General features: G+C 42.8%; 2 long non-coding RNA genes and 1 pseudogene across 13 annotated transcripts; 1 reads left to right on the forward strand and 2 right to left on the reverse strand.

Moving 5' to 3' along the window:
• The first annotated feature begins 992 nt into the window (after positions 1-992).
• On the forward strand, positions 993-24,086 carry LOC112268472 (uncharacterized). Of its 10 annotated transcripts, XR_007058405.1 has the most exons (7): positions 4,454-4,614; positions 4,778-4,855; positions 4,960-5,014; positions 5,612-5,824; positions 7,353-7,425; positions 21,974-22,487; positions 23,529-23,614. It is a non-coding gene; the product is annotated as an uncharacterized LOC112268472 (long non-coding RNA). The 10 variants fall into 10 exon arrangements; XR_007058404.1 differs by lacking the exon at positions 23,529-23,614 and having other exon boundaries at positions 4,454-4,626; positions 21,974-22,581; XR_002959817.2 differs by lacking the exon at positions 23,529-23,614 and having other exon boundaries at positions 21,974-22,581.
• Positions 15,577-16,048, reverse strand: LOC100132090 (survival of motor neuron 1, telomeric pseudogene; annotated as a pseudogene).
• Positions 17,621-24,106, reverse strand: LOC107986328 (uncharacterized). 3 transcript variants are annotated; one of them, XR_001741937.3, is made up of 3 exons: positions 24,028-24,106; positions 18,361-19,285; positions 17,621-18,253 (listed from the first exon to the last, which is right to left on the reverse strand). It is a non-coding gene; the product is annotated as an uncharacterized LOC107986328 (long non-coding RNA). The 3 variants fall into 3 exon arrangements; XR_001741936.3 differs by having other exon boundaries at positions 17,621-17,899; positions 18,003-19,285; XR_007058409.1 differs by having other exon boundaries at positions 17,621-19,285.
• Positions 24,107-24,602: the final 496 nt, after the last annotated feature.

Consider the following 24,602-nt stretch of genomic DNA (forward strand, 5'->3'; position numbering starts at 1 on the left):
AAGAAACTGAATTGAATCCACTTGCAGGGCCATCCTCTCCTGAAGATGGCAGAATCTGAACAGCCAAGTGAAAGACAGGGGGGCCCCCACAAGCCCCTGTCCTACCCACGGATCCCGAAATAGAAGGAAATGCCCTAAGCTAGGAAGAAAAGCGCACCAAGAAAAGTGCATTCTGAGCCACACCTTCCATGTGGATAAAGTCAAGACTTGGGTTTCTGGAAGCGGAAATCTTGTCACTTTCCTTCATCATTCGTTTTTTCTTCCTCTTCCTCTTCCTCCTCTTCTTCCTCTTCCTCCTCTTCTTCCTCTTCCTCTTCCTCCTCTTCTTCCTCTTCCTCTTCTCTTCCTCTTCTCCTCCTTCTCCTCCTCCTTCTCCTCCTCCTCCTCCTCCTTCCCCCCTTCCCCTTCCCCTTCCCCTTCCCCTTCCCCTTCCCCTTCTCCTTCTTCTTCTTCTTCTTTTTTAGAGACAAAGTCTCACTCTGTCGCCCAGGCTGGAGTGCAGCGTAATCAGAGCTCACTGACCGATGGAGAGGGAAGCCAGATGGGGACAGAAAAGAGGTTTAGGGGCGAGAGGGCAGACAGGTAAATACAGAGAGGTGGAGACTGATGGCAGAGGGGAGGGGCACAGGGAAGGAACAGTGCCCTGCCCTTCTCCCGATCACACGGGGTCGCAGCACAGTACTGCCAGGAAAAGGCCCGTTCCCCAGGAAGTGGGGATCACCAAGGGGGCTGAGCTCCTTTGATTCCTTCTGAGAAATCCTCCTTCCCTTTCCGACTCCCCTCCAACCATAAGCCACTTCTCAGGCCTGGCCATTCTCCTCTCTCATCAGACTAGACAGAGCTGGGGGCATTTGAAGATGCAGACTTCACGGAACGTTACCAACGTTCCACGTTATCACGGAAAGTTACCAACGTTCCACGTTACCACGTTACCAACATGCCTCCTCCTCTGTGAAGCACCCCCGATTGCCCCTCCCATCCTCCGTCTCAGTGCACTGTTTTCACTCACCCGCCTCTCCCTCCGGCTCTTGAGCTGAACGAGGGCAGGGACTGTGTCGTGTTTGCTGTTGTATTCTCGGTACCCTCTAAGGTGCCTGGGGCATGGTAGGAGACCGATAAATATTGGACAAATAAATTAACAAATGAGTGGGGTGCGGTGGCTCACTCCTGCAATCCCAGCACTGTGGGAGGCCAAGGTAGGTGGATCATTTGAGGTCAAGGGTTCGAGACCAGCCGGGCCAACATGGCGAAACCCCGTCTCTACTAAAAACACAAAAGTCAGCCGGGCGTGGTGGCGCACACCTGTAATCCCAGTTACTCGGATGCTGAGGCAGGAGAATCGCTTGAACCTGGGAGGCGGAGGCTGCAGTGAGCCGAGATCAGGCCACTGCACTCCAGCCTGGGAAACAGAGCGAGACTACATCTCAAAATTGAAAAAAAAAAAAATTAATTAATTAACAAATGAATGGAGCACATTATTACTTCTAAAAACGCAATGCTGAGTGTGGCATTCTTCTGCAAAAATAGAGACTGGAACCCTTTGCATGTGGTTTTTCCCTCAAGGAAAACCAGGGCTAAGGAAATTCAGCCCTTCCGGACAACACCAAGGAAAAGCCTGGCCAGCACAAAAAACCATTTAATTTCCTTTCACAACATCTCTGGTCACCACTGTTCTTTATTTAATCCTATAAATCCCTCTTTATAAATTTACTTATTTATATTTAAGTTAACATGGATACTCATTCACTACTACTGAGTTTTTCAAAACTATGTGTCTGTCTCAGCATATTTTATCGTCTGAAGCACATGCCTGGCCAGCTGCTAGAGCCGCTGGAACCGGCGTTTGGATCAGTGCTGGAACACGAGTCGGGGCCAGAGTGATTCCTGCTGCGACTGCTGACAGCCAGCTTGTGAAGCACTCAGGTGCTGATAGACCTGGCATATAAACAAACCTCGACTTCTGATAATATTTCTAAAAGAATTAAGTGTTGTTGGGTAGACCGTAGTATATGATGACAGAGGCTAGACATTCTGGCAGAACCATCTTAGAAATGAAAATAGACATATTATCATTTAAATTTCCAAGGAAACTTATAGTACTGGTATATTCAATCTGAGCGACACGTTCCCTGTGGATAACGTCGAGGCTTCGGTTTCTGGAAATGGAAATCTCGTTAACTTTTCTTCACCTTTCAGTTTCTTTCTTTAGGAATGAAGTCTCACTCTATCATGCAGGCTGAAGTGCAGTGTGATCATAGCTCACTGCAGCCTCGATTTCCTGGGCTCAAACAATCCTCCCGCCTCAGCCTCCTGAGTAGCGGGGACTACAGGCACACACCACCACACCCAGCTCTTTGATTCCTTTTAGTTTTGTTGAAAGTAATCGACTCAAATTGATCATCTTTTAGAGAATACGTGAGGGATATGGTACCTAACAGAATTCTTACCAGCTATCAACACAAAGAGTGGACCAAGCCAATCAGACCAGGTTAAGTCTGTAACACTGTATGCTAAGTGAATTTCCCAAAGACCTGTTGAGACGCTAGGCTATTCCAAGTGGCAGAAACCATCCCATCTGGTGTCTGCATTCTCTTGTCCTTATTCTGTATAACTTCACTGCAGTTCCTCCAGTAAAAGGCACAAACTGCCCATTGTGGGCTGCATTTGGCCTACAGACATTTTCCTTTGCTCACTCAGGAGTTTTGAAAGTTTCCGTTAGGTGTTGACATTTAAAAATTGGGAGACCTCATTTAAAAAAAAATCTAGGTTTTATTTTCTCTTTAAAAATCAGAAGATGTAGCAACACTGAATATGAATTCTTTTATGGACACATTGAGCTCAAATAGGAGCAACGGACTCTCTAATAACATTGATAAGAATAATAGTAGTAATAGCTATTCGTATAATAGGATGTACTATGTGCCACCTGCTCCTTAAGTGCTTTGCATATATTACATCATTTTATCCTCACATCAACCCTATGAGGTGGGCACTATAATTACCTGCAGTTTCTAAGTAAGGAAAACAAGACCTGGTGAGGTCAAGTCACTTGCCTGTAGTCACACAGCTATTTATTTATTCGTTTGTTTATTTATTTATTTTTGAGACGGAGTCTTGCTCTGCTGCCCAGGATGGAGTGCAGTGTCATGATCTCAGCTCACTGCAACCTCCACCTTTCAGGTTCAAGCAATTCTCCTGCCTCAGCCTCCTGGGTAGCTGGGATTACAGGCACATGCCACCACGCCTAGCTAATTTTTGCATTTTTAGTAGAGACGGGGTTTCACCATGTTGGACAACCTGGTCTCAAATTCCTGACCCCAGGTGATCCACCCGCCTCAGCTTCCCAAAGTGCTGGGATTACAGGCGTGAGCCACCGTGCCCAGCCAGTCACACAGCTTTAAATGATAGAACCAAGATTTGAACCAAGCAGTCCAAATGGTTAAATACTCATAAATGCAGTCTCCCAAATGATGCTGGGTAGGAACAAACTATTGTAGGCACACGGATGTCTAGATGTAAATGCTGTTGTGACTAACATATAATAGTTCAAAAGAGTATGGGGTCTGGAGTCAGATTCCCTCCATTTGAATCTAGTCTCAGCCACATTTCACCTGGGAGAACTTGGGCAACTTGATTAATATTTTTAAGCTTTAGTTTCATCCGTAAAATGAGGAAATAGTACCTTCCCCATGGATTATTTAGACTTTACAGAATTAAGTGAGGTAATAAAATCCTTATCCTTAGCATAAGTAAGCAGTGGCACATAGTAAATGCTCAATTAATGGTCACTATTGTTATTTTTATCTAGGTAACTTTTAGCACTGAAAATTTCATATGTGTCTGATTGAGAGAAGTCTTAAGCTGATGCAAAACATATTCTCCAATTTCTAACATTTTGTAGTTTAAAGGAAATTATTTATAGACAAAAATAATACGGCTCTTTGGGAAATAGTGCTCAAGTACTATTTCGCTGGAGAGCACAAACATATAAAATGAAACGCCGCTTTAATTTTAGTTTCAGTCTTTCCTTAAGTACAGGAGTCCCTCCTTATCTGTGAGGGATATGTTCCAAGACCCCCAGTGGATGCCTGAAACCGCAGACAGTGGCAAACCCTATATACAGCAATTTTTTCCTATGCCTACATACTTATGATAAAGCTTAGCCTATAAATTAGGCAGAGTCAGAGATTAACAACAATAATAATAAAATGCACCAATTATAATGGTACACTGTAACAAAAGTTATGTGAATCTGGTCTTGCTCTCTGTCTCAAAATATCTTACTGTACTGTACCCACTCTTCTGATGATGATGTGAGATGATGAAATGCCTTTGTGATGAGTGAAGTGAGGTGAATGTCATTGGCATTGTGACATAGTGTTAGGCTACTGCGGACCTGCTGATGTTATGTCAGAAGGGGGATGAGGTGCTACAGGTGGTCCAGGTCACTGGGCCATGACAGTGTTGATGGTTGAACGTCAGGAGCCAATGATGTTGATAGTTGGGGATCCTGGATAGTTGAAAGATTTTTTGCTGAAAACTTTTGGAAGAACATTGTAATCAGAAGTTGTCCCTAACTCTTCAAAGCTTTGCTGCAGACGTTCTAATCCTTTGGTGAGCATGCAGGTGACTTTAATGCTGCATTCCAACTAAGGATCACATTTCATAATTTTGTCTTTAAAAGTCTGTGAAATCTGAAACACTTCAGCAAATGTTGGTAATGTCCACATTGCTGGTTCTGCTTCAGTTTCTTCTTCCTCTTCCTCTTCCTCTGTAGATGACTCAAGTTCTCCCAATTCCTGGTTTAACACTTGTCAATGGCCTTCAATGTGTTCTCCCACTTCCTGTCAAGCAGGTCGGCAAATCGTTCTCCACCAACTTGTCTTTCTGCATGAGTGATTTTCCTAACTTCTTCAATCCCAGAAAGCCTTTAAAATCATTCTTGACTTCACTCCACAGGTTCTTGCAGCAGACATTTACCATTGCTGGTTTCGATTCATGCATTGTAGCTTTGGTGAGTGTTATTGTGTCAACGATAGTGAATAATTTCCAGCACCGCATTGTGTCCAGATTAGAGTCTGCCTCGATTGCTGATCAAAATCTCAGGTGGATGTATATGGTTTTGACAAACCAAATGACGTCATGCCCTGGACAAAGGGCTGAAGCAACAAGGTTGTAATCAGAAGTAAAAACACAACCTTGACATTTTAATTTTCACAACAAACAAATTCAACAAAGGTTGTACTCCGAAGTAAAAACACAACCTTGACATTTTAATTTTCACAAAAACAAATTCAACAAACAAAAAAATTGTCCAGGTGCAATGTCTATTGTCCAAACAGGACTTTAAATTCCAACTCTTCCACTTCCATTTATTTTTTCACTTCTGGGATGAAGCATCGGTGAAGCCATTCCATAAACAAGATGATTCTCACCCACACTTTCTGATTATTTTGACAGAAGATGGGCAGATAATTTGGGGGGGTTTAAATCATGAATTTTTTTAATTTTTAATTTTTGTGGGTACATAGTAGGTGGTGGTTGTTGTTGTTGAGAGCACATGCGTTCTTCACTTTGTGCATGACACCTGGCTTTATCGTATGCCCTGCAGCATTGCCACCTGGTACCAGGGTTAATCTGCCCATCCGTGCTTCATGCCCCAGTGCCTCCTTTGAACTTTTATGAATAGAGGTTCTATCGGGCGTCTTCTTCCAGAAACACCTCGTTTCATCACAGTTGAAGATTTGCTGTGGATGGTATTCCTTCTTCTTAATCAACTTCCTCAGCTCTGCCAGAAATGCAGCAGCTGCTTCTTCATCAGCAGGTGCAGCTTCTCCAGTAATGTTTTTATTTTTTCGTCCAAACCTATTCCTGAATCTGTGTAACCATCCCTTACTTGTAGTAAATGGCTTGATATCACTTGTTTCAGGGGACCCCTTGCTCAAGGCTTCCTATAAGTTCAGTGCTTTATGGCACAACGCATTTGTCGTCAATTGAAACACATTTTCCATTCATGTCCTCCACCTGCAAATCTAGGTGGTTCAACCTACTACACACCTAGGTACGTGGTATACCCTACGGCTCCTAGGCTACAAACCTGTATAGCATGTGACTCTACTGAACACTGTAGGCAATTGTAGCAAAATGGCAAGGATTTATGTATCTGAACATATCTAAACACAGAAGAGGTACAGTAAAAATATGGTATCAAAGACAAAAATGAAACACCTGCATAGGGCGGCTCCATGATAATCTTGACCGATGCTGATCGAAACATCGTTATGTGGTGCACCCCTGTGTTTATAAAAACCTAAAATGGGCATACTTTATGACCAATTAATTTATCTTGTATAAATTAATTTTAAAGGCCGGGGCGGTGGCTCATGCTTGTAATCCCAGCACTTTAGGAGGCCGAGACAGGCGGATCACCTAAGGTCAGGAGTTCAAGACAAGCCTGGCCAACATGGCAAAACCCCATCTCTACTAAAAATACAAAAATTAGCCGGGCATGGTGGTGGGCACCTGTAATCTCAGTTACTTGGGAGGCTGAGGCAGGAGAATCACTTGAACCCAGGAGGTGGAGGTTGCAGCGAGCTGCGATCGTGCCACTGCACTCCAGCCTGGGCGACAGAATGAAACTCCATCTCAAAAAGAAAAACTCAACTTAAAATATGATCTCATTGATGAAAATGAGCAAAAAGTGATAAACCATCCAATAGGAAAAATAGGCAAAAGATATGAAAAATAGAGCCATCGTCCCTGTGTTCCAAGACCTCCAGTGAATGCCTAAACCATGTTTTCTGTTCATGTGTTCCACCCACAAATTTGATGCCTTTTTTCCACCTTCACTGAGCGCTTACCACACGCTGTGGCCATGACTATAGCAATCTGATGTGCAACAGCAGAACCAGCACACATTTCTCATTCCTTCTTCACAATTTCACGATAGAAGATTTGACCTTACTGTAGATCTTAAGAACCTCAGCGTACAAGTTTTTTCCTTCCTTATAAGTTGAAAACTTTCTCTTTTTCACATTCACATGGCTTCTCTTTGGCATATCCAAATTGCCAGCATCACTACTCTTGCACTTTGGGGTCACTAGAAAGTAAAATAACGGTGGCTTGGATGCGAGCATTGTGATACCCAAGACAGTCAATCTGATAATCAAGCTGGCTAAGGGACTAGCAGGCAGGTAGTGTACACACCACAGATATGCTAGACAAAGGAATGATCCACCTCTCAGGCGGGACAGAGCCAATGTTGCAAGATTTCATTATGCCACTCAGAGCAGCATGCACTTTCAAAACTTATGAATTTTGTATTTCTGAAATTTTCCATTTAATATTTTCAGACCAAGGTTTGCTGCAGGTAACTGAAACCATGGAGAGCAAAACTGTCCATAGGGGTAATCCATTGCATTTTCAGTAAGTATTTATTGAGCATCTACTATATCGTATTCATCATTCTATCTCTAGTATTTTAGCCTAGCCTATAGTAGGATTCAGATAAATGTCTGCAGAACGAGTAAAGCCAAAAGTGAGAAATTGATAGAATTTGGTTTGTTCTTCCAAAAGGTAAGATGCCAGAAAAAATTCTGAAAATCAGTTCACGTTAGAGTAAGCAAACAAAAAAAAAAGTGTAATCAAAGAAATTTTCCTTGTTAAAATCAGAATGCATTAATACTAATGAAAAGGAGAATGCAGACCCCGTCTGACATATTTTATACTGTTTAAAGATAAACATTTGTGCACTGCAAGCCGCAAATGGATTGAAACTCCAGTGAGGACTTTATAAGCCATCTGCTAGTCTACTAATGAGGCTAGTAACTATCATTGTTTACGGATAGGCACCAGGGGTCATGGGTATTTGTTATAATGAAAGCTGCAATGCATCACTGCAGAAACTAAAAGAGTCTTTCTTCATAAGGGCTAATTACAAATATAATAAAACAACATTTAAAAAATCTCTTGAAGTCCACAGAGAAACCTAACTTGGCACACCAAGTACAAACAGTAGTACCCGCTCTGTTTGCATTTAGTGGATTCTGATTACAGAAGCCATATCATATTTAACTACTAACAATACAAGGCCACCGATGGGTCCTTTGCCTCAGATCACTTAATCACAAGATGCTTTGTGAACCATCTGGATCTCTGAGATATTTGCTCTGACAATCTATGCATAGAGTATGCAAACTCACAGCAAGACCCATGGGGTTTTTGTGTCTGTGTGTGTGTTTTTAATAAGATGCTACCTTAAAGTTCTGCCTCCCTGGTGTCCACACTGAACTTTGTGAGTTAGTTATCTCAGTGCAGGGGTGGAATGTGAAAAATTGATTGCTTAGAGTCATAGAAACAAAGGAACTAATAGGCTGACTACATTTTTTTACTTTTTATTGGCAATTTTAGCATCCTAAATATGTAGTCCAATCTTAATTGTTTTGGCCAATAGATAGTGGCAGTATCTCCACAGTCCAGTGGAGAAATAATTTGGCCTGTTGCATTAGTGGATGACAACCACATCAATTCATGTGTTCCCAGCATCTCAGACTAGGAAAACTTAAGAGTCACAATATGAAGGGCTTCTTATAAAATGTTATATCAGTAACAGTATCAAGACCTGAGATCTCCCAGATGAGAAAAGGTTACCTATTTTATTAAAATTGCCTGTTAATAGGATTACTAATAATAAGACTACAAGAAGAAAAATGTCTCATATTTGTAGAGTGCTTCTCGCTTATTCCAAAGCCTTGTGCATGAAAACCAAAACCCAAAAACCACTAATATATGCACATCCCCTAAAGAATAGCCAATAAAAACGTGAAAATAGAAGAGAAATTAGGTGGATCTCGCACTACCAAATAGGAAAACATACTAAGCTTAAGTAAAGTAGTGCAGTGCAAATGCAAGAGTAGAATAAGGGATCAAAACGTGGAACAGAAAGAAAAGAGATTTGCCTGCAGGGCTGACATGAAGGGCGCCCCTGAAATTGTGCTGAAGGCATATAAGAACGTGTGTGTGATCAACGTGGCAGTGGAAATAAATGGAGAAAATAAAAATGATTTCATGAGTACTACCGAGATAATATGTTAACTTTCTGGAGAAGGAATGAGATTCTTATATTATATGCAAAAATAAAGTCCAGAGGGCTGGGTGTGGTGGCTCATGCCTGTAATCTGAGCACTTTGGGAGGCCAAGATGGGCGGATCACCTGAGGTCAGCAGTTTGAGACCAGCCTGGCCAACATGGTGAAACCCCGTCTCTACTAAAAATGTAAAAATTAGCTGGGCACGGTGGTGGGAACCTGTAATCCCAGCTACTCAGGAGGCTGAGGCAGGAGAATCGCTTGAACCCAGGAGGCGGAGGTTGCAGCAAGCCAAGATCACACCACTGCACTCCAGCCTGGGCAACAGAGCAAGACTCCGTCTCAAAAAAAAAAAAAATCCAGAGAATTAAATAACTAAGGATAGAAAATAAAACTATGAAAAATAACTTTTAAAAATGTGAGCAAATATTTAATTTGCAAGAGAGGAAGAAGAAGAGAAGGCAAGAGGTGGAGAGCAGTGTGGCTCACACCCCCTGGGTCATCCTTGTAAGGCTATCATGCATCCCACAGGCAGCCTCAGAGGGAAAGCTATGAGGCAATTTTGTTCATATTCGTGTCATAAATTTAAAATGTAAGATAAACTATGCTTTTCAAGAAATGCCATTAACATGCTAAAAATAATTATGTGTTCAGAGGTTGCACATGAGCCACAAATTGTGCTGATCATTTTGGAGGGAGCTGCTATCCGGTTAGTAGGGTCTGCTACCTTGTGGCTTATGCGCATCCGAATCATTTACATAATACTGCTTACTTTATTCAAGGTGCCTTTTTATTTTTACGCACGCATTGCATTTTAGCTTCATTTCACAAAAGTGGATTAGTGGTGCACATGGTTTATTGAGGCATAAAGGCAATAACGAAATAATAACATACATACTACAACCGGAATAACACCATACACAAACATAATAAACAAGACTCCAGCACAAATGTGGAATGGGAACTCTTACATGTTGGGACAAGTGAATCTGTGAAGGTGACGATTTCACACAAGCATTGGAAAAGAAAAGTGTGAATAGGATATAGCATCATGAATATCTGAAAATTGGATTTCGTTCGACAAGTGATCCATTCACTTTTTGCCCTTCATGCTTTGTCTGTATTGAATTTTGTCCCATAATGGCACAAAGCCATCCAAACTTTTGTATCACTTTCACACAAGCTCAGTGACCTTTCCAGCATCCACATGAGGTTTCCTGGAATAAAAGCAAAGTATCGCTTTTCAAGTATGAAACCGATCAATTGTATCACTAAAGGCAGAGAAGAGGTAGTAGCAGTAAGAGATATCAGTGACATGAACATTAAGAAACAAACAACACCAGCCCCAAAGTTAATGGCCAATATTATGCATAAAGAGAAAGCGGAATAATATGGCAGATAAATTGAAAGAGTCTTTACTACCACATCCTCTTGCTAGCAGATATTTCTCACCAAGACTGGACAGAACTGAGGAACAGGGCATGAAGCTGCTTCTAGCGTACATGTTTTCCTTGGGGATAATGTTCTACGGCTTTTGATCTTATTTATCTCTGAAAGCACAGACTCTATAAACAGATATTTTCTTGTTTTGTTAATGATGATCTTGTGAGCTGTAGGGCACTTGTCACTGAAAAGGCTTTGGGATCAGAGCTGACAGAGTATCTGCTATGCATGAACATAGAATGTGAGTGAAAGAGAATTCAGGTGGCAGGGTGCGGTGGCTGGTGCCTGTCATCCCAGCACTTTGGGAGGCCAAGGCCGGAGGATCACTTGAGCTCAGGAGTTTCAGACCAGCCCGAGCAACATAGCAAGACCCTATTAAAAAATAATTTTTTTCTATTAAAAAATTTTTTTAAAATGCCAGGTGCAGTGGCTCACACTATAATCCCAGCACTTTGGGAGGCTGAGGTAGGTGGATTACCTGAGGTCAGGAGTTAGAGACCAGACTGACCAACATGGTAAAACCCCATCTCTACTAAAAATACAAAAAATAGCCAGGCGTGGTGGCAGGCATCTGTAACCCCAGCTACTCAGAAAGCTGAGGCAGGAGAATGGTTTGAACCCAGGAGGCGGGAGGTTGCAGTGAGCCAAGATTGTGCCACTGCACTCCAGCCTGGTGACAGAGTGAGACATCATCTAAAAAAAAAAAAAAACATTTAACCAGGCATGCTGGTGCATACCTACTCAGAAAGTATGCTCCTACTTGGGAAGCTGAGGTGGGAGGATCACTTGAACCTAGGAGTTCGAAGCTGAAGTGAGCTGTGATCGCACCACCGTGTTCCAGACTGGGTGACAGAGTGAGATCCTGTCTCAATTTAGAAAAAAAAAAAAAGAGAGAGAAAGAGAAAGAATACACCTAAATGCCAATTCATCCACTGCTTTAATTATGGAGAACAGTTGGTGGACAAAAAGATGCCTTTTGATCCAAATTAGGTGTTGAAGGAAATGGTGAAACAGGTAAATATAATCAAACGGCCACCACTAAGTTTGCGCTGTGTGGAGAAAAGGAGGAGCATGCTCGGCTTTTGAATGCTGAGGCACACCAGGTATTTAACGGAGAGACAATCAGAGAAGACTTCAGTGTCTTTGGGCAATTTTTATGACATCATTAATACCCATAACAACCGTTTTATGATTTCCAGTGATTTGTGGCCAGTAATTTAATAGGAATATCTTTGCTACTATCTGCCACCTTGAAACTCTCAGTCTTACAGCTTTGTCTGAAGCTTGTTGGCTTAGCATCCAACAAAGCAGTGAATGTAGACTTTAGCAAAAAAGCTTGACATATTTTCAAGGTCTACCTTCTATCTTCATATGCAGAACTAACTGACAGACTATCAAATACTTGTTGTCATTCCTGAAAGCTGAAATTTCATAGAAATAAACTAGAATGGGAGGATGATATTCTGAGGCAAGACAGTGAAAGCCTACCGCAGTTCATCCCATGGAAATGAGAACTAATGCGCTTTCCTAAAGGGTATTGAAAGAATGCCCTTCCTAGATTAATAGCTGCATACCACAGACCCAACCTGGGTTCATCTGCTCTGTAAGGATACCATATCCAGAACAGCAGCTAAAATTAGGGTTAAGTTTGTGATTGTCCACTGTCATCTGCCATGATGCACCTAGATTTTGCAGAGGCAAGACTGGTGAATTAAATGGAGTTACAAGAAGGACCGCCAGCTTTGAACTATTAAAGTCTTCAAGGGTGGCACCCATCTCTGCTATCTCTCTGAATGAGATATTTACTATCAAGGTCAGAGGGGGTAATTTCAGGAACTTTCAGGTGGCCTTTCCTACTATGGTAGTTCTTATTCTACAGTCAAGGAACCAACGTAGGATTCTGTCTGCCAGTTGCCACATGTGGTCAAGAGCTTGTCTCTGCTGGGCCCAGTGGCTCACACCTGTAGTCCCAGCACTTTGAGAGGCTGAGGCATGTGGATTACTTGAGCTCAGGAGTTCAAGACCAGCCTGGGCAACATTGTGAAACCCCATCTCTACTAAAAATACAAAAAACTAGCCAGTCGTGGTGGTGTGTGCCTGTAATTCCAGCTATTTGGGAGATTGAGGTGGGAGGATCACTTGAACCCGGGAAGTTGGTGGTGCAGTGAGCAACGATCAAGTCACTGCGCTCCAGCCTGGGCAACAGAGTGAGAGCTTGTTTCAAAAAAACAAAAAGGGAACTTGTCTGTAAAAGAATAAAAATGAAAAACTTACTTAGGAGACTGATGTATTCTGGGACTAAGGAAATGACACCCGGTGTTGTGGGTGGCAGGATGCATAGACCCAATGAGAGACAAACTTTATCAAGGACTTTCTTTTCTTTTTTTATGAAAAAAAAATTTATTATAGACTTTTAAACATAAAGAAAATAGAAAAATAGGACAGTGAACATTCATAAATATACCAATTAGGTTCATTAACATTTTGCCATATATACTTTACACACACAGACACACACACACATATGCACACATTTTGCTAAACCATTTGAAAATATCTTAGAGACATTTTAACACTTCACTCCTAAATACTTCAGCACGCACATTTATAAAGACATTCTTCTGTAAACTACAATACCCTTATCCCAGCTCATAAATTAGCAATAATTGTCTAATATCATTTAAAATCTAGTCCATATTCAAATTTCTTCAGTGGCCCTTTGCCCAGGTCTTTTACAGATGACTTTTAAAACCAGGCTTCAGGCTGGACGAAATGGCTCACACCTGTAATCTCAGCACTTTGGTGCGGGCAGATCACCTGAGGTCAGGAGTTCGAGACTAGCCTGGCCAACATGGTGAAACACTATCTCTACTAAAAATACAAAAATTGGCCAGGCATAGTGGCGTGCACCCAGCTACTTGGCTGACTGAGACAGGAGAATCACTTGAACCCAGGAGGCAGAGGTTGCAGTGAGCCAAGATCGCGCCACTGCACTCCAGCCTGACCCTGTCTCAAAAAACAAACAACAACAACAAAAAAGCATGGGTTCCAATCAAAGACTGCACATTGCATTTAGTTGTTAAGTCTCCTAAGTAACTTTTATTTTTATTTTTTTAGAGACAGTGTCTTGCTCTGTCACCTAGGCTGTAGGGCAGTGGCGCAATCATAGCTCACTGCAATCTGGAACTCCTGGGCTCAAGAGATCCTCCCACCCCAGCCACCTGAGCAGCTGGGACTACAGGCATTCACCATCATGCCTGGCTAATTTTTTAAGAATTTTTTTAGAGAATGGGTTCTGGCTATGTTGCCCAGGCTGGTCTCAAATTCCTGGCCTCAAGTGCTTCTCCCATCTCAGCCTCCCAAAGACTTGAGCCACCCTGCCTGGCCTTAAGTAACTTTGAGTATAGAAGAGTTACCCACTCCACCTCCTTCTTCTTCTTCCCGAATGCTGATATTTTGAAGAAATGAGGCCAGTTATCTCTACAACATTCCACATTCTGAACCTATCTGATCATTTCTTTAATGGTGTCATTTAACTTGTTGTTCTAGCCTCAGTATCTTCTGCAAATGGGAAATTAGATCTAAAAGCTCGACTAAATTCCAGTTGAACTCTTTTGATAAGAACACATCATAGGTGCACACTACATGACAAATGAAAAAGCATGTCTGGTTGTCTGACTCCTGGTGATGCAATGTCATTAGATCCTAAGGATCTCTTCATTGTAAACGTATGTTGTGCCCACAAAACCAATCAGCAAATCTTTGGTAAGATGATACTTTGACACCATGAGAATTCTGGGGTGGATGTAGATCAATTTTTTATTTAATAGTTTTGGCATCAAAATCCCTTTAATGTTGTTTTACATTAACTTTTCAACTATTTAACAATCCGATTTTTTAAATATTGTAAAACATTTGTTTTCCACAAACCATAAAATGTATGCAAAAGTAAGATTCACTTTTATAATCATAGCAGAATTACTCCTTAATTGACATGCGAGCACCTTTCTTTTTTATTTTTATTTTGAAACTCACCAGGCGCGGTGCCTCATGCCAGACATGGTGGCTCACACCTGTAGTCTCATCACTTTGAGAGGCTGAGGTGGGCAGATCACTTGAGGCCAGGAGTTCAAGACCAGCCTGGGCAACATGATGAAACTCTGCCTCTACTAAAAATACAAAAATTAGCCAGGCGTGGTGGCGCATGCCTGTAATCCCAGCTACTTGGGAGGCTAAGGCAGGAGAATTGCTTGAGCCCAGGAGGCAGAGGTTGCAGTGAGACTAGATTGCACCACCCATCTCAAAAAACAAACAAACAAACACATAAAAAAAACCCTCATATGTATTAGTCAAGGTTCTCCAGAGGGACAGAACTAGTAGGATATATGTATATGTATATAGATGGGTTATATACACACACACACACACACACACACACACACACACACCGTTTATGTTAATATTATATATATATATCATATACATATCATGTATTGCGTATGTGATTGTGTGAGTCAGTTCTTCCTATGAGAGAGTTTATCAGGGAGGATTGGCTCACACAATCACAAGGTGAAGTCCCATGATAAGCTGTCTTCTAGCTGGGGAAGAGAGAAGCTGGTAGTGGCTCAGTCCGAGTCTGAAAGCCTCAAACCAGGGAAGCTGATTATGCAGCCCTATGCAGACTGAAAGTCTGTGGCCAAAGACCCAAGAGCCCCCAGCAAGCCACTATGCAAGTCCCAGAGTCCAAAGAACCTGGAGTCTAATGTCCAAGGGCAGGAGAAGTAGGAGGAAGCACCCAGCACAGGAGACGGAGGGCAGCCAGAGGACTCAGCAGGCAAGGTTATCCCACCCCCTCCCACCTGTGGCACTGGCATCTGATCGGATGGTGCCCACCCACATTGAGGGTGGGTCTTCCTCTCCCGGCCCACCGACTCAAACGTCAGTCTCCTCTAGCAACACCCTCACAGACACACCCAGAAACAATACTTTACCAGCTGTCTAGGCATCCTTCAGTCCAATCAAGTTCACATCTAATATTAACCATCACACCATATAATAGCCAGTATGATAGCCAGTTAGGTACCAAGAGATGATCACACTTCCCAAAGCAAAGCATCATTAAGAGACTCTGGACATATGAGAGGTGGGAGTGGAGGAATTACTGATGGTCCAGAGGGAAATGGAGGCAGCCAGCATGACAGGAAATGGGGTGCTGGTGGAGGAACATTGAATTTTAGACCTGGCTTTCCTGGTCTCAGTCCTGACCCTGGCATGGGGGTGGCAGAAGGAGAAAAGAGTTTCATGGAGTAGCTTTTGATTTGGTGTTATTTGGTTTATTTCCAGGAGACCTGGAGTTCTCATTTTCATCCATTGGAACTTGACTTTCATTCTCTCGAGTGTTCTATTCTATATTATTAGCTACTTCAGAGGTTGGGGAAAGTAGTAGATCAGGCAGATTTTGCTCTTCTCCATTTCCATATCCAGTGTACACCGCAACATGGGTTTTTCCGTTAAAATCAACCTAAGTGGCTCAGGCTGTGGTGGCTCACGCCCGTAATCCCAGCACTTTGGGAGGCTGAGGCGGGAGAACCGCTTGAGCCCAGGAGTTCAAGACCAGCCTGGGCAATGTAGTGAGAATCTGTCTCTACGAAAAATAAAAATTAAGTCCCAGCTACTCGGGAGGCTGAGGCAGGAGGATCGGTTGGGCCCGAGAGGTGGAGGCTGCAGTGAGCTGTGATGGTGCCACTGCACTCCAACCTGGGTGACAGAGCAAGATGCTGTCTCAAAATAATAACAATAAAAATAAAATACAATCAACTGAAGCAATGATGTAGCTGGGTGAAGGCAGCTGTCTTCTGACCTAATGGCAGAACATGCGCCACCAGCTTTCCTGTGTTTCAAGAGAGTTGCATATTCTATTTTTGGCTCTTATTCTTCTTGGGTTTTCTTTTAGGTGTGACATTTGGTTATCTGAAGTTTCACAAATGTCATTCTTGTGAATGGTGGCTTAAATGAAGCATGGCTTTATCATAAGCTTCTATCAATGCTGTATCATTCCAAACGTCACAATCATCACTCTGGCCTGCACTGCCCAGGAACAACACCCAGTCCTCCTATCCAGGACTCCATCTCCACCTCTACCACCACCACCGCTGCTGCCCATGGCCATGCTGAGCCTACTGCCTTATTTATTTTCTCACACCCGCATTTCTCTAACAGGGAGGCCACAGTGACATTTGACTTCTTAGATATTGCTCTATTCAAGGGCCTTGGATATAAGATCTGGGTGTTCCCTTCTTTCCAAGGTATAGCACCTACATAGGTGGCTGTAGTTTCTTTTGGGAGCACTGGGGAATCCATACTGCATAGGCTATGCTGTATATCCTGCATGAATGCATCCTTCCTCATGGACCCGTATGGACCTTTTCTTTACTCAATGAATTGTGGGTCTGAGAACTGGCTTAGGTCTTGAAATTGGGCAAGAAGGCATAACTTCCCGCTAGGAATGGCTGACTTTAGCCTCCTTATCATCCATTCTTTTTTTTTTTAATTTTTGTGGGTACACAGTAGGTGTATATATTTATGGGGTACATGAGATGTTTTGATACAGGCATGCAGTGAGTACTAATCACATCACATAAAATTGGGTCTCCATTCCTTAATGCATTTATCCTTTGTGTTACAAACAATCCAATTATACTTTCAGTTATTTTAAACTGATCATTCATTCTTGATCTCTCTTTAGAGCTTAAAACTGCACTAAGATTTTTAGGATACCCTGTAAACAATGCCCTTGTTGCCTGCCCACTTATCTTTCCCCTAGAAACACCATGTTTCTAGAAACACCTCCCTGGATCTCCCCTGACTGTCATTCCAGATTTACTGTCCTTATTATGCCATCTAGCTTCTGACGATTAAGTGCTGCTGGCCTCTGCTACTGTGTGATCAGTTCTGTAGTGTCATCTCTTGTCAGCCCCAACCTACAGAAGACAGCTGCCACTGAGTTTCTCAGTGTGCTGGTATCCTCACTGTCATGGGTAGCAACTGCCTAGGGCTGGTGGCACAGATGGTAAAAAGAATTTATCAAGATAGTTTTAGGTAAAGAAAGGCAGATTTATTGGAAAAAGTAGGAAAATGTATTTCAGGAAAGCAATGGGCAAGTCAGCAAGAGAGGAGCTGACTGCAAGGAGACAAAAGCTTGCTGGAGATTTTATAGGATGGTGCTTGTGCTGTGTGCTGAAGAGGGCTTTGTGCGGTACTGATAATGCCAAGGTCGCAGTGAGCTAACTTGCATTTTTCTATCAGCCGAGTGTCTGGTGATAGCTGGGCGCAGGAAGATGGTGAGTTATTTGCACAGGATGGCTCTGTGTCCTGGACCATGAAGAAAGGCAAACTTACAGCTTATCTGTTTTTTTGCTTTACCCTGGTCCCAACCATCTTGACTCCTTTTCCCTAATTAGGACTCCAAACTCACCAGTGCATTCCTTATCACCTGCATCCATGCAGTGTTCTCCCCAGGAGCATGGTCAACTGACCTCCCGTGGGAGAACTATTCTAGCATGTCCACTTCTCCAAGCCTCTTGATTCTTTTCTCCACAGTCAGTGCTGGTAGTTCTGCCATCTTTACTTCATTTTTTTGTAGGCCAACACTTTCTGCAAGTTTCCAGGACTTATCCAAGCGGTGTATGAGACCCACATCCTGGGACCCTTGCCAGGTAGCTAATTCTGAGTGAAAGAGGAGTGCCCCCTTATAGAGAAACTCTCTCTTATCCAGTTTTATATTCCAACCTTTTGGTCCAGCACCATGGAGATTCACTTCCAGGCATACTCACCAGTTCTTGCCAGTACACATCAGCCAGGTTCTGAGCTGCTTGGGTGTAGAATCCCTCTTCTCCCTTAGCAGGCTCTGCTTTCCCTGTTAGGTTGTGCTGACATCTGACCTTAATTATGAATTTTGTGGCTGGGAGTGGAGGTAGAGCAGATCCTGAGGAAGACAGATGTTGTCTTATAAGGCACTGTCTCACTATCTGGTCTTCAAGTAAGAAGGGCCCACTATCTTCCAATTAGGCCATGTGGGCCACTTCTGAAGTTCAAGGATTCCAGAGAATATTACAGTGAGAGCTCTCGATTGCATCTACCTATTGTCCCCAACCTAAGCCTTGGGGTCTCACTCCTTCCCTACCAAAGCTCTGAGTTCATCTTCCCACCAAACCAACCCTTCTTGGTTTTCTTTCATAACATAAAAAAGAGTCATTTACTGAGAGCACTGGGCTAAATTTTGGAGCATAAAGAGATATGACTAGTGCCTTCCTTCATGGGACAAGAGTGAGTTCACATTGGCTCAAGCCAATGACCGTTTCCCATCTCCTTTGCCACATGACTGTGTTAGGGTTGGGAATTTAACCCAAGTGAAGCCAAGAGGACATGAAGACTTAGCTGAGGCTCTGGGAAATAGGGTCCTGCACTCTTTATTGAATTCGCTGCTCCAAAGACGTGAAGCTTGCAGTGGGCTTCCTCTGCAGCATCTTGAAACCAGGATGGGGAATCCCAGAGATTCTGGGAGTTGAAGTCAGGAGATGCTGCCATAAACACCTGGCAGGGGAACCAAGCTAGAAGCAGCACTGTGGAGAAAAGAATCCTGCTGACACAATTCCTTCTCTCGGTCAGGCCATACTCAACTGCACATCTGACTTGTGTGAAACGGTAGCCTCCCACTTTTGTTTAAGTCAGTCTGAGCATTTTGTCATGGTGTCCACCCTAAAGAAGTTCATAGTGCAGCAAAAATCAGTCACAGTTTATGATAATCTGACTCATATTTTATATGATTCCCTCAAAAACTGTTCAGTTATTGTTTCCTTCAGTTGGGAAGCTAGATTGTCTGCTCTGTTGAGTCCCGGTCTTAGGCCTTCTCCACCAGAATGCATATTTATAGAGGACATTCAATATACACTTAATGCATTGTGTAGAAATTAAAAGAAGACCAATCAAATGAGAACTATGAAAAGTTGTTCATTCAGAGCTTGCTACAACAAGTGAATCACCCACTATTACTTGCGTTGTTGCAGAGACTCAACGGAAGGCAGAGGAGTGGGAAAGCTTCAGAGTAGAAAAAAGAGAAGGCATCAGGTGTGCCCTGATGGAGACCATGACCTGGGGAAGCTGCAGGCGGGCTGGCTAGAGGCGAGCATCCTATGTGATTGGTTAGGGGGGCATACTTGGTGTTGGAAGCAGGGACAAAAGTTAGGGAAGCTGTCAGTTATTAATCAAATCTTGGCCATTTAGGGCCAGTTGTTACAGAAGCATTTTATATATGGTCTGGCCATGGCTCATTTTGTATATTCAGTCTCTCTATTGAGTGAATCTCCTTTCCCTAATTTATATCAAAAATAGACTTTTCAAGAATAGTTTGGGGATTGTTGTCTTTGTTGCTAAAACTTAAAAAAAAAAAAATGTGTCTAGTACTGTCGCTGCCTTCAGGGCTGATTCAAATCCAATATGGATTTAGAGAATTAAACCCAATCTATGGTGATATTGAAGAGAAGCTCAAAATGAGAAAAACAACTCTACTCAGACTAAATACACAATAATTAATTTGGATGCTGCACTTAGCAATGAAAGACAGAACCTAAAAGGGCATTTCTCAACCCCTGGAGTGTGTCTCGAGCAGTGAAACCAAAATTAGTGATGATTAGGAATCGAAAAAGTCTTCCTCATCAGGCAGAAGTTCTAGAAATTATTAACACATTTCACATGTTAAATGATGATACCAAGTATAAATATTATGTAAGTACAGCCACATATCCAGTGCTGGGGGGTATATTTTTAGACTGAATTTAAGAAACATAAGGGCTGGGCGCGGTGGCTCACGCCTGTAATCCCAGCACTTTGAGAGACCGAGAAGGGCGGATCACCTGAGGTCAGGAGTTTGAGACCAGCCTGACCAACATGGAGAAACCCCGTCTCTAGTAAAAATACAAAATTAGCCAGGTGTGGTGGCACATGCCTGTAATCCCAGCTACTTGGGAGGCTGAGGCAGGAGAATTGCTTGAATCTTGCAGTGAGCCAAGACTGCACCATTGCACTCCAGCCTAGGTGATAGAACGAGTCTAGATAGAAGAAACTTAAAAAAGTGCACAGCAAATATTTTTTAAAAAGAGGAATAAGATTCTAGGATAAGTTTAATATTTGCAACAATTACCCTTTAAAAATAGAAAGCTGATCAGCAAGAAAGACTCTGATAACCAATTTGATGATGTTACAGCTACATTTTCACAGTATATGTTCATAAACTTAAGTACTGGAATTAAAACAAAGCAGCACATATGGTAAGACTAACAAAATGTAAAGTGACAGATGTCTATAAATATGAAAATCATGTATAGTATAGTTCATTAATTACCTGTCATTGGATCTTAAAATTAGGAATGATATTTATTCCCACTCAGCCATTTAATGAATAGACTTTGAATGAGGAAAATAAGATATAACAAGCTGGGGCTTTTTATATATATATATATATTTTTTTTTTTATTATACTTTAAGTTCTAGGGTACATGTGCACAACGTGCAGGTTACATATGTATACATGTGCCATGTTGGTGTGTTGCACCCGTTAACTCGTCATTTACATTAGGTATATCTCCTAATGCTGTCCCTCCCCCCTTCCCCTACCCCAAACAGGCCCCAGTGTGTGATGTTCCCCTTCCTGTGTCCAAGGGTTCTCATTGTTCAATTCCCACCTATGAGTGAGAACATGCGGTGTTTGGTTTTTTGTCCTTGCGATAGTTTGCTGAGAATGATGGTTTCCAGCTTCTTCCATGTCCCTACAAAGGACATGAACTCAACATTTTTTACGGCTACATAGTATAAGCTGGGGCTTTTTTAAGGTGTTACTTTACTTTTAACAATCATGCAATCAGAAGTATTGTGTTGATTTTTGTGGGGGAAAGTGGGGTCTCACTATGTTGCCCAGGCTGGTCTCAAACTCCCAGCCTCAAGTGGTCCTCCCACCTCAGCCTCTCAAAGTACTGGGATTACAGGTGTGAGTCACTGCACCCAGCTTTGTGTTGATTTTTACTACACTGTCATAGTGTGAATATTGCAAACTAGAGCTTAATTTAAATTTAAATATACAGTTGGCCCTCTGTATCTGGGGGTTCCGCATCCATGGATTCAACCAACCAGGGATCAAAAATATGTAGAAAAAAAAATGGATGGTTGCATCTGTACTGAAAATGTACAGACTTTTTTCTTGGCCTTATTTCCTAAACAATACAGGGTAACAACTACTTACATAACGTTTACATTGCATTAGGTATTATAAGTAAATGGTGTAACTAGTAGAATCAAGTATATTAAAGGAAAATTATTAATATTTGACCTGTTTGATATCAACATTAACATCAGAGTAAAAAAAATAGCAATGTTCAACTTTCTTTCTCCTAGGAAACATTCCTAGGTGGTTGAGGAGGGTGACTTACGACTTCCTCTCAAAGATATCTAAACCAAGACGTCTTCAACTTTAGCCTGCATATGCATCACCTGGAAATCGAGGTGTAGGGTGGGCCCTGAGTTTGCCTTTCTAAGGAGAGATGCTAACAAGATCTGGACCATCAGCCACTCAAGACCTTTAACATGTTTCATACCTGTCGACACCCTGATACACCTTGGCCTCTGAAATACTTTACAAGCTTTGCTAAAGAACACGTTCATAATGTACCAGTTCTTTAGCACTGATTCCCTTAGGGAAATCTGTTCTTCAAGGCAAGTTTCCCATTGCAGTTCTCTATCAACCTGGCGGGGGAAGTTACTGCCAATCATTGACCAAGCAGCACAGATTGGGAGAACTCCGTACCTTGGCTCTATAAGCAACATCACTGTTCAGAGTGGTCATCCGAAGCATGCAGACTGGAGATACTATGAACTCTGATCACATAAATGAAGGATTCACTGTACTTTTGTAAGCAGACAGACAGGGTTTCCAGGGATTTTAGGAAATGAATAATCAACCTGAGGAAGCAGCCTGTTTTACAGCCTCTTGCCCTGCAGCCTGTGTGGAATGCAGTCGCCTTGCTGGTTGGAACCAGCAACTGACAGACCCCAGCAACTTATAGATGAACCCCAGTGAAGTTTCTTCATGCCATGCTAAAGCCCTCCTCCCCTAGAGGAGCTATAGCTTTATTATCATAACCTGTGACCCATCATGGCATGTAGAGGGGGGGTCTGGGCCACTGGGACCCCCCCCCCCATACACATGCCATGATGCACCTCTCCCTTCTCTATCACTCCATCAAACCCTCCTGTCACTTTCCCTTGGGAAGATACGGCTTTGGAGAACACTTCCCGTGTGTGTCTTACTTGTGCCAAGTAACACAATGCCTATTGATCAAAATCTGAGTTCTCCTGGAGAGTCGTTTGTTACTCACCAGGCAAATAAGCCCCAGTTTTTGGGAGGTAACATTATGAAATATTCTGAAGTAGTCCCATGAAAGATTTCTACTTTCCTTTTCAAATTATTGATAAATAAATGAGCTTGCTTTGGGCTATGGAGATAGTTTTACATGAATAAATCAATTCCTCTGAGCAGGGGCACCAGTGTGGAGATACAGGCTGACACACCAGCTCTCGCCTGTCCCTGGGTGGGAGGGGCTGGGCCGGTGCCTCCCCTGGATTGTTTCCTGTTTAGGCATTGCCAGAGGCGGGATGAGAAGAAAGGGCTGTGGGGATCTGAGGCTTGGAATTCCAAGATTGCTCCCAACTAAGCTGTGGTGCTTAGATGGACACCTGCACACCCCGTTATCCTCTGGCTGGTCCTACATGTTCAAGGACCCTTAAGGGGCTCTCCACAACAGACTTTCATCTCTTCTTCCGAATTGGCCTGCTCTCTGTTCAATTCCCTCAAGGCAGGGATGGATGACTGGCAAAGTTATCCAAGTGTTACGTGAGAGAAAGAGAACTATTTCTTTTGTCTGAGTCCTTTGTCTATCTTTTTCTTTTCAAGTATTCCCTGTCCTTCAAGAGCCAGGTGAATGCCACGTCCTCTTCAGAGCCTTCCTGGATGTCACAGCCGACCATTGCTGGGGCTCAGAAAAAGCTACCTGAACATATGGCGCTCTGGCCTGCAGAGTACTTTGAACTGGAGGAGATTGGAAGGCTTCAGCAATGGCCTCAGCACTAAGATCTCTCTGACCTTCTCTTGCCCTTGTGTCTCGCTCCTCTTTCTCCCCTAAGCACAGGGAGGGGCTGTCCCTGAACTTTCCTTGTCTCCTTAAAGATAGATCTAAAAAGGAACTCAGTTTCTCCTCCAGAGACAAGATTCACTGTATCATAGGAGAAGAGACTGGGGGTCCGGGCCACTCACAGACATCGCCATAGGCTATCGCCTGTTCGTCTTCCCCAAAAAGCACTTATTCTCCCCTAAGCAGCCTACATGCCCGATCCCCTCTTCTTTATGAAGAAGTAGATAAGCTTGTCAATTTCACTGGGTTTTGGGTACTCACTTTTGTTTCTCGTGCTGCTCCCATCCGTGTAATAAATGTGCATGTTTTTTTCTCCTGTTCATCTGCCTACTGTCCTGGAGTCAATTATGAAAACTCAGAGAGTAGAGAGAAAGTGTTTTCTGTCCCTATAGGAGGCAGCCGTTGCTCTCATGGCACTCATCACTGTCTGCCTGGCGTCATGCGTAAGTACCCGGTTGCCCCTAAAAGATTGCAAGCTCTGTGGGAGCGGAAACTGTGTCTCATTCATCTCCTGCAGGCACTCAGGAAGGAGGAAGAAATGGATGAAGCCTCTTATGTCCTAAGGCCTGCTAAGGTGCTTATGTAATCAAATTTTATCTTATCCTTATAATATGTGTTGCTTTACCTTTGATCACTGTAATGCCACTTATATAGCATGTTATAATTTATAAAGACATTTTCATATACTTTCTTTTTACCAACATTAATTTCCAACATCCTTCCATGCGTGTGATATTTTGGGGACAGTGTAGCTATCTGTTCTTTTGCCCCAAAATTACAACCAGCAGATGGCTGCCTCCATCCCCACTTAGAGATGTTGCCTGGCCGACAGCTCT

Source organism: Homo sapiens, chromosome 4 (genome assembly GCF_000001405.40).
Source record: "Homo sapiens chromosome 4, GRCh38.p14 Primary Assembly".
NCBI lineage: Eukaryota > Metazoa > Chordata > Mammalia > Primates > Hominidae > Homo > Homo sapiens.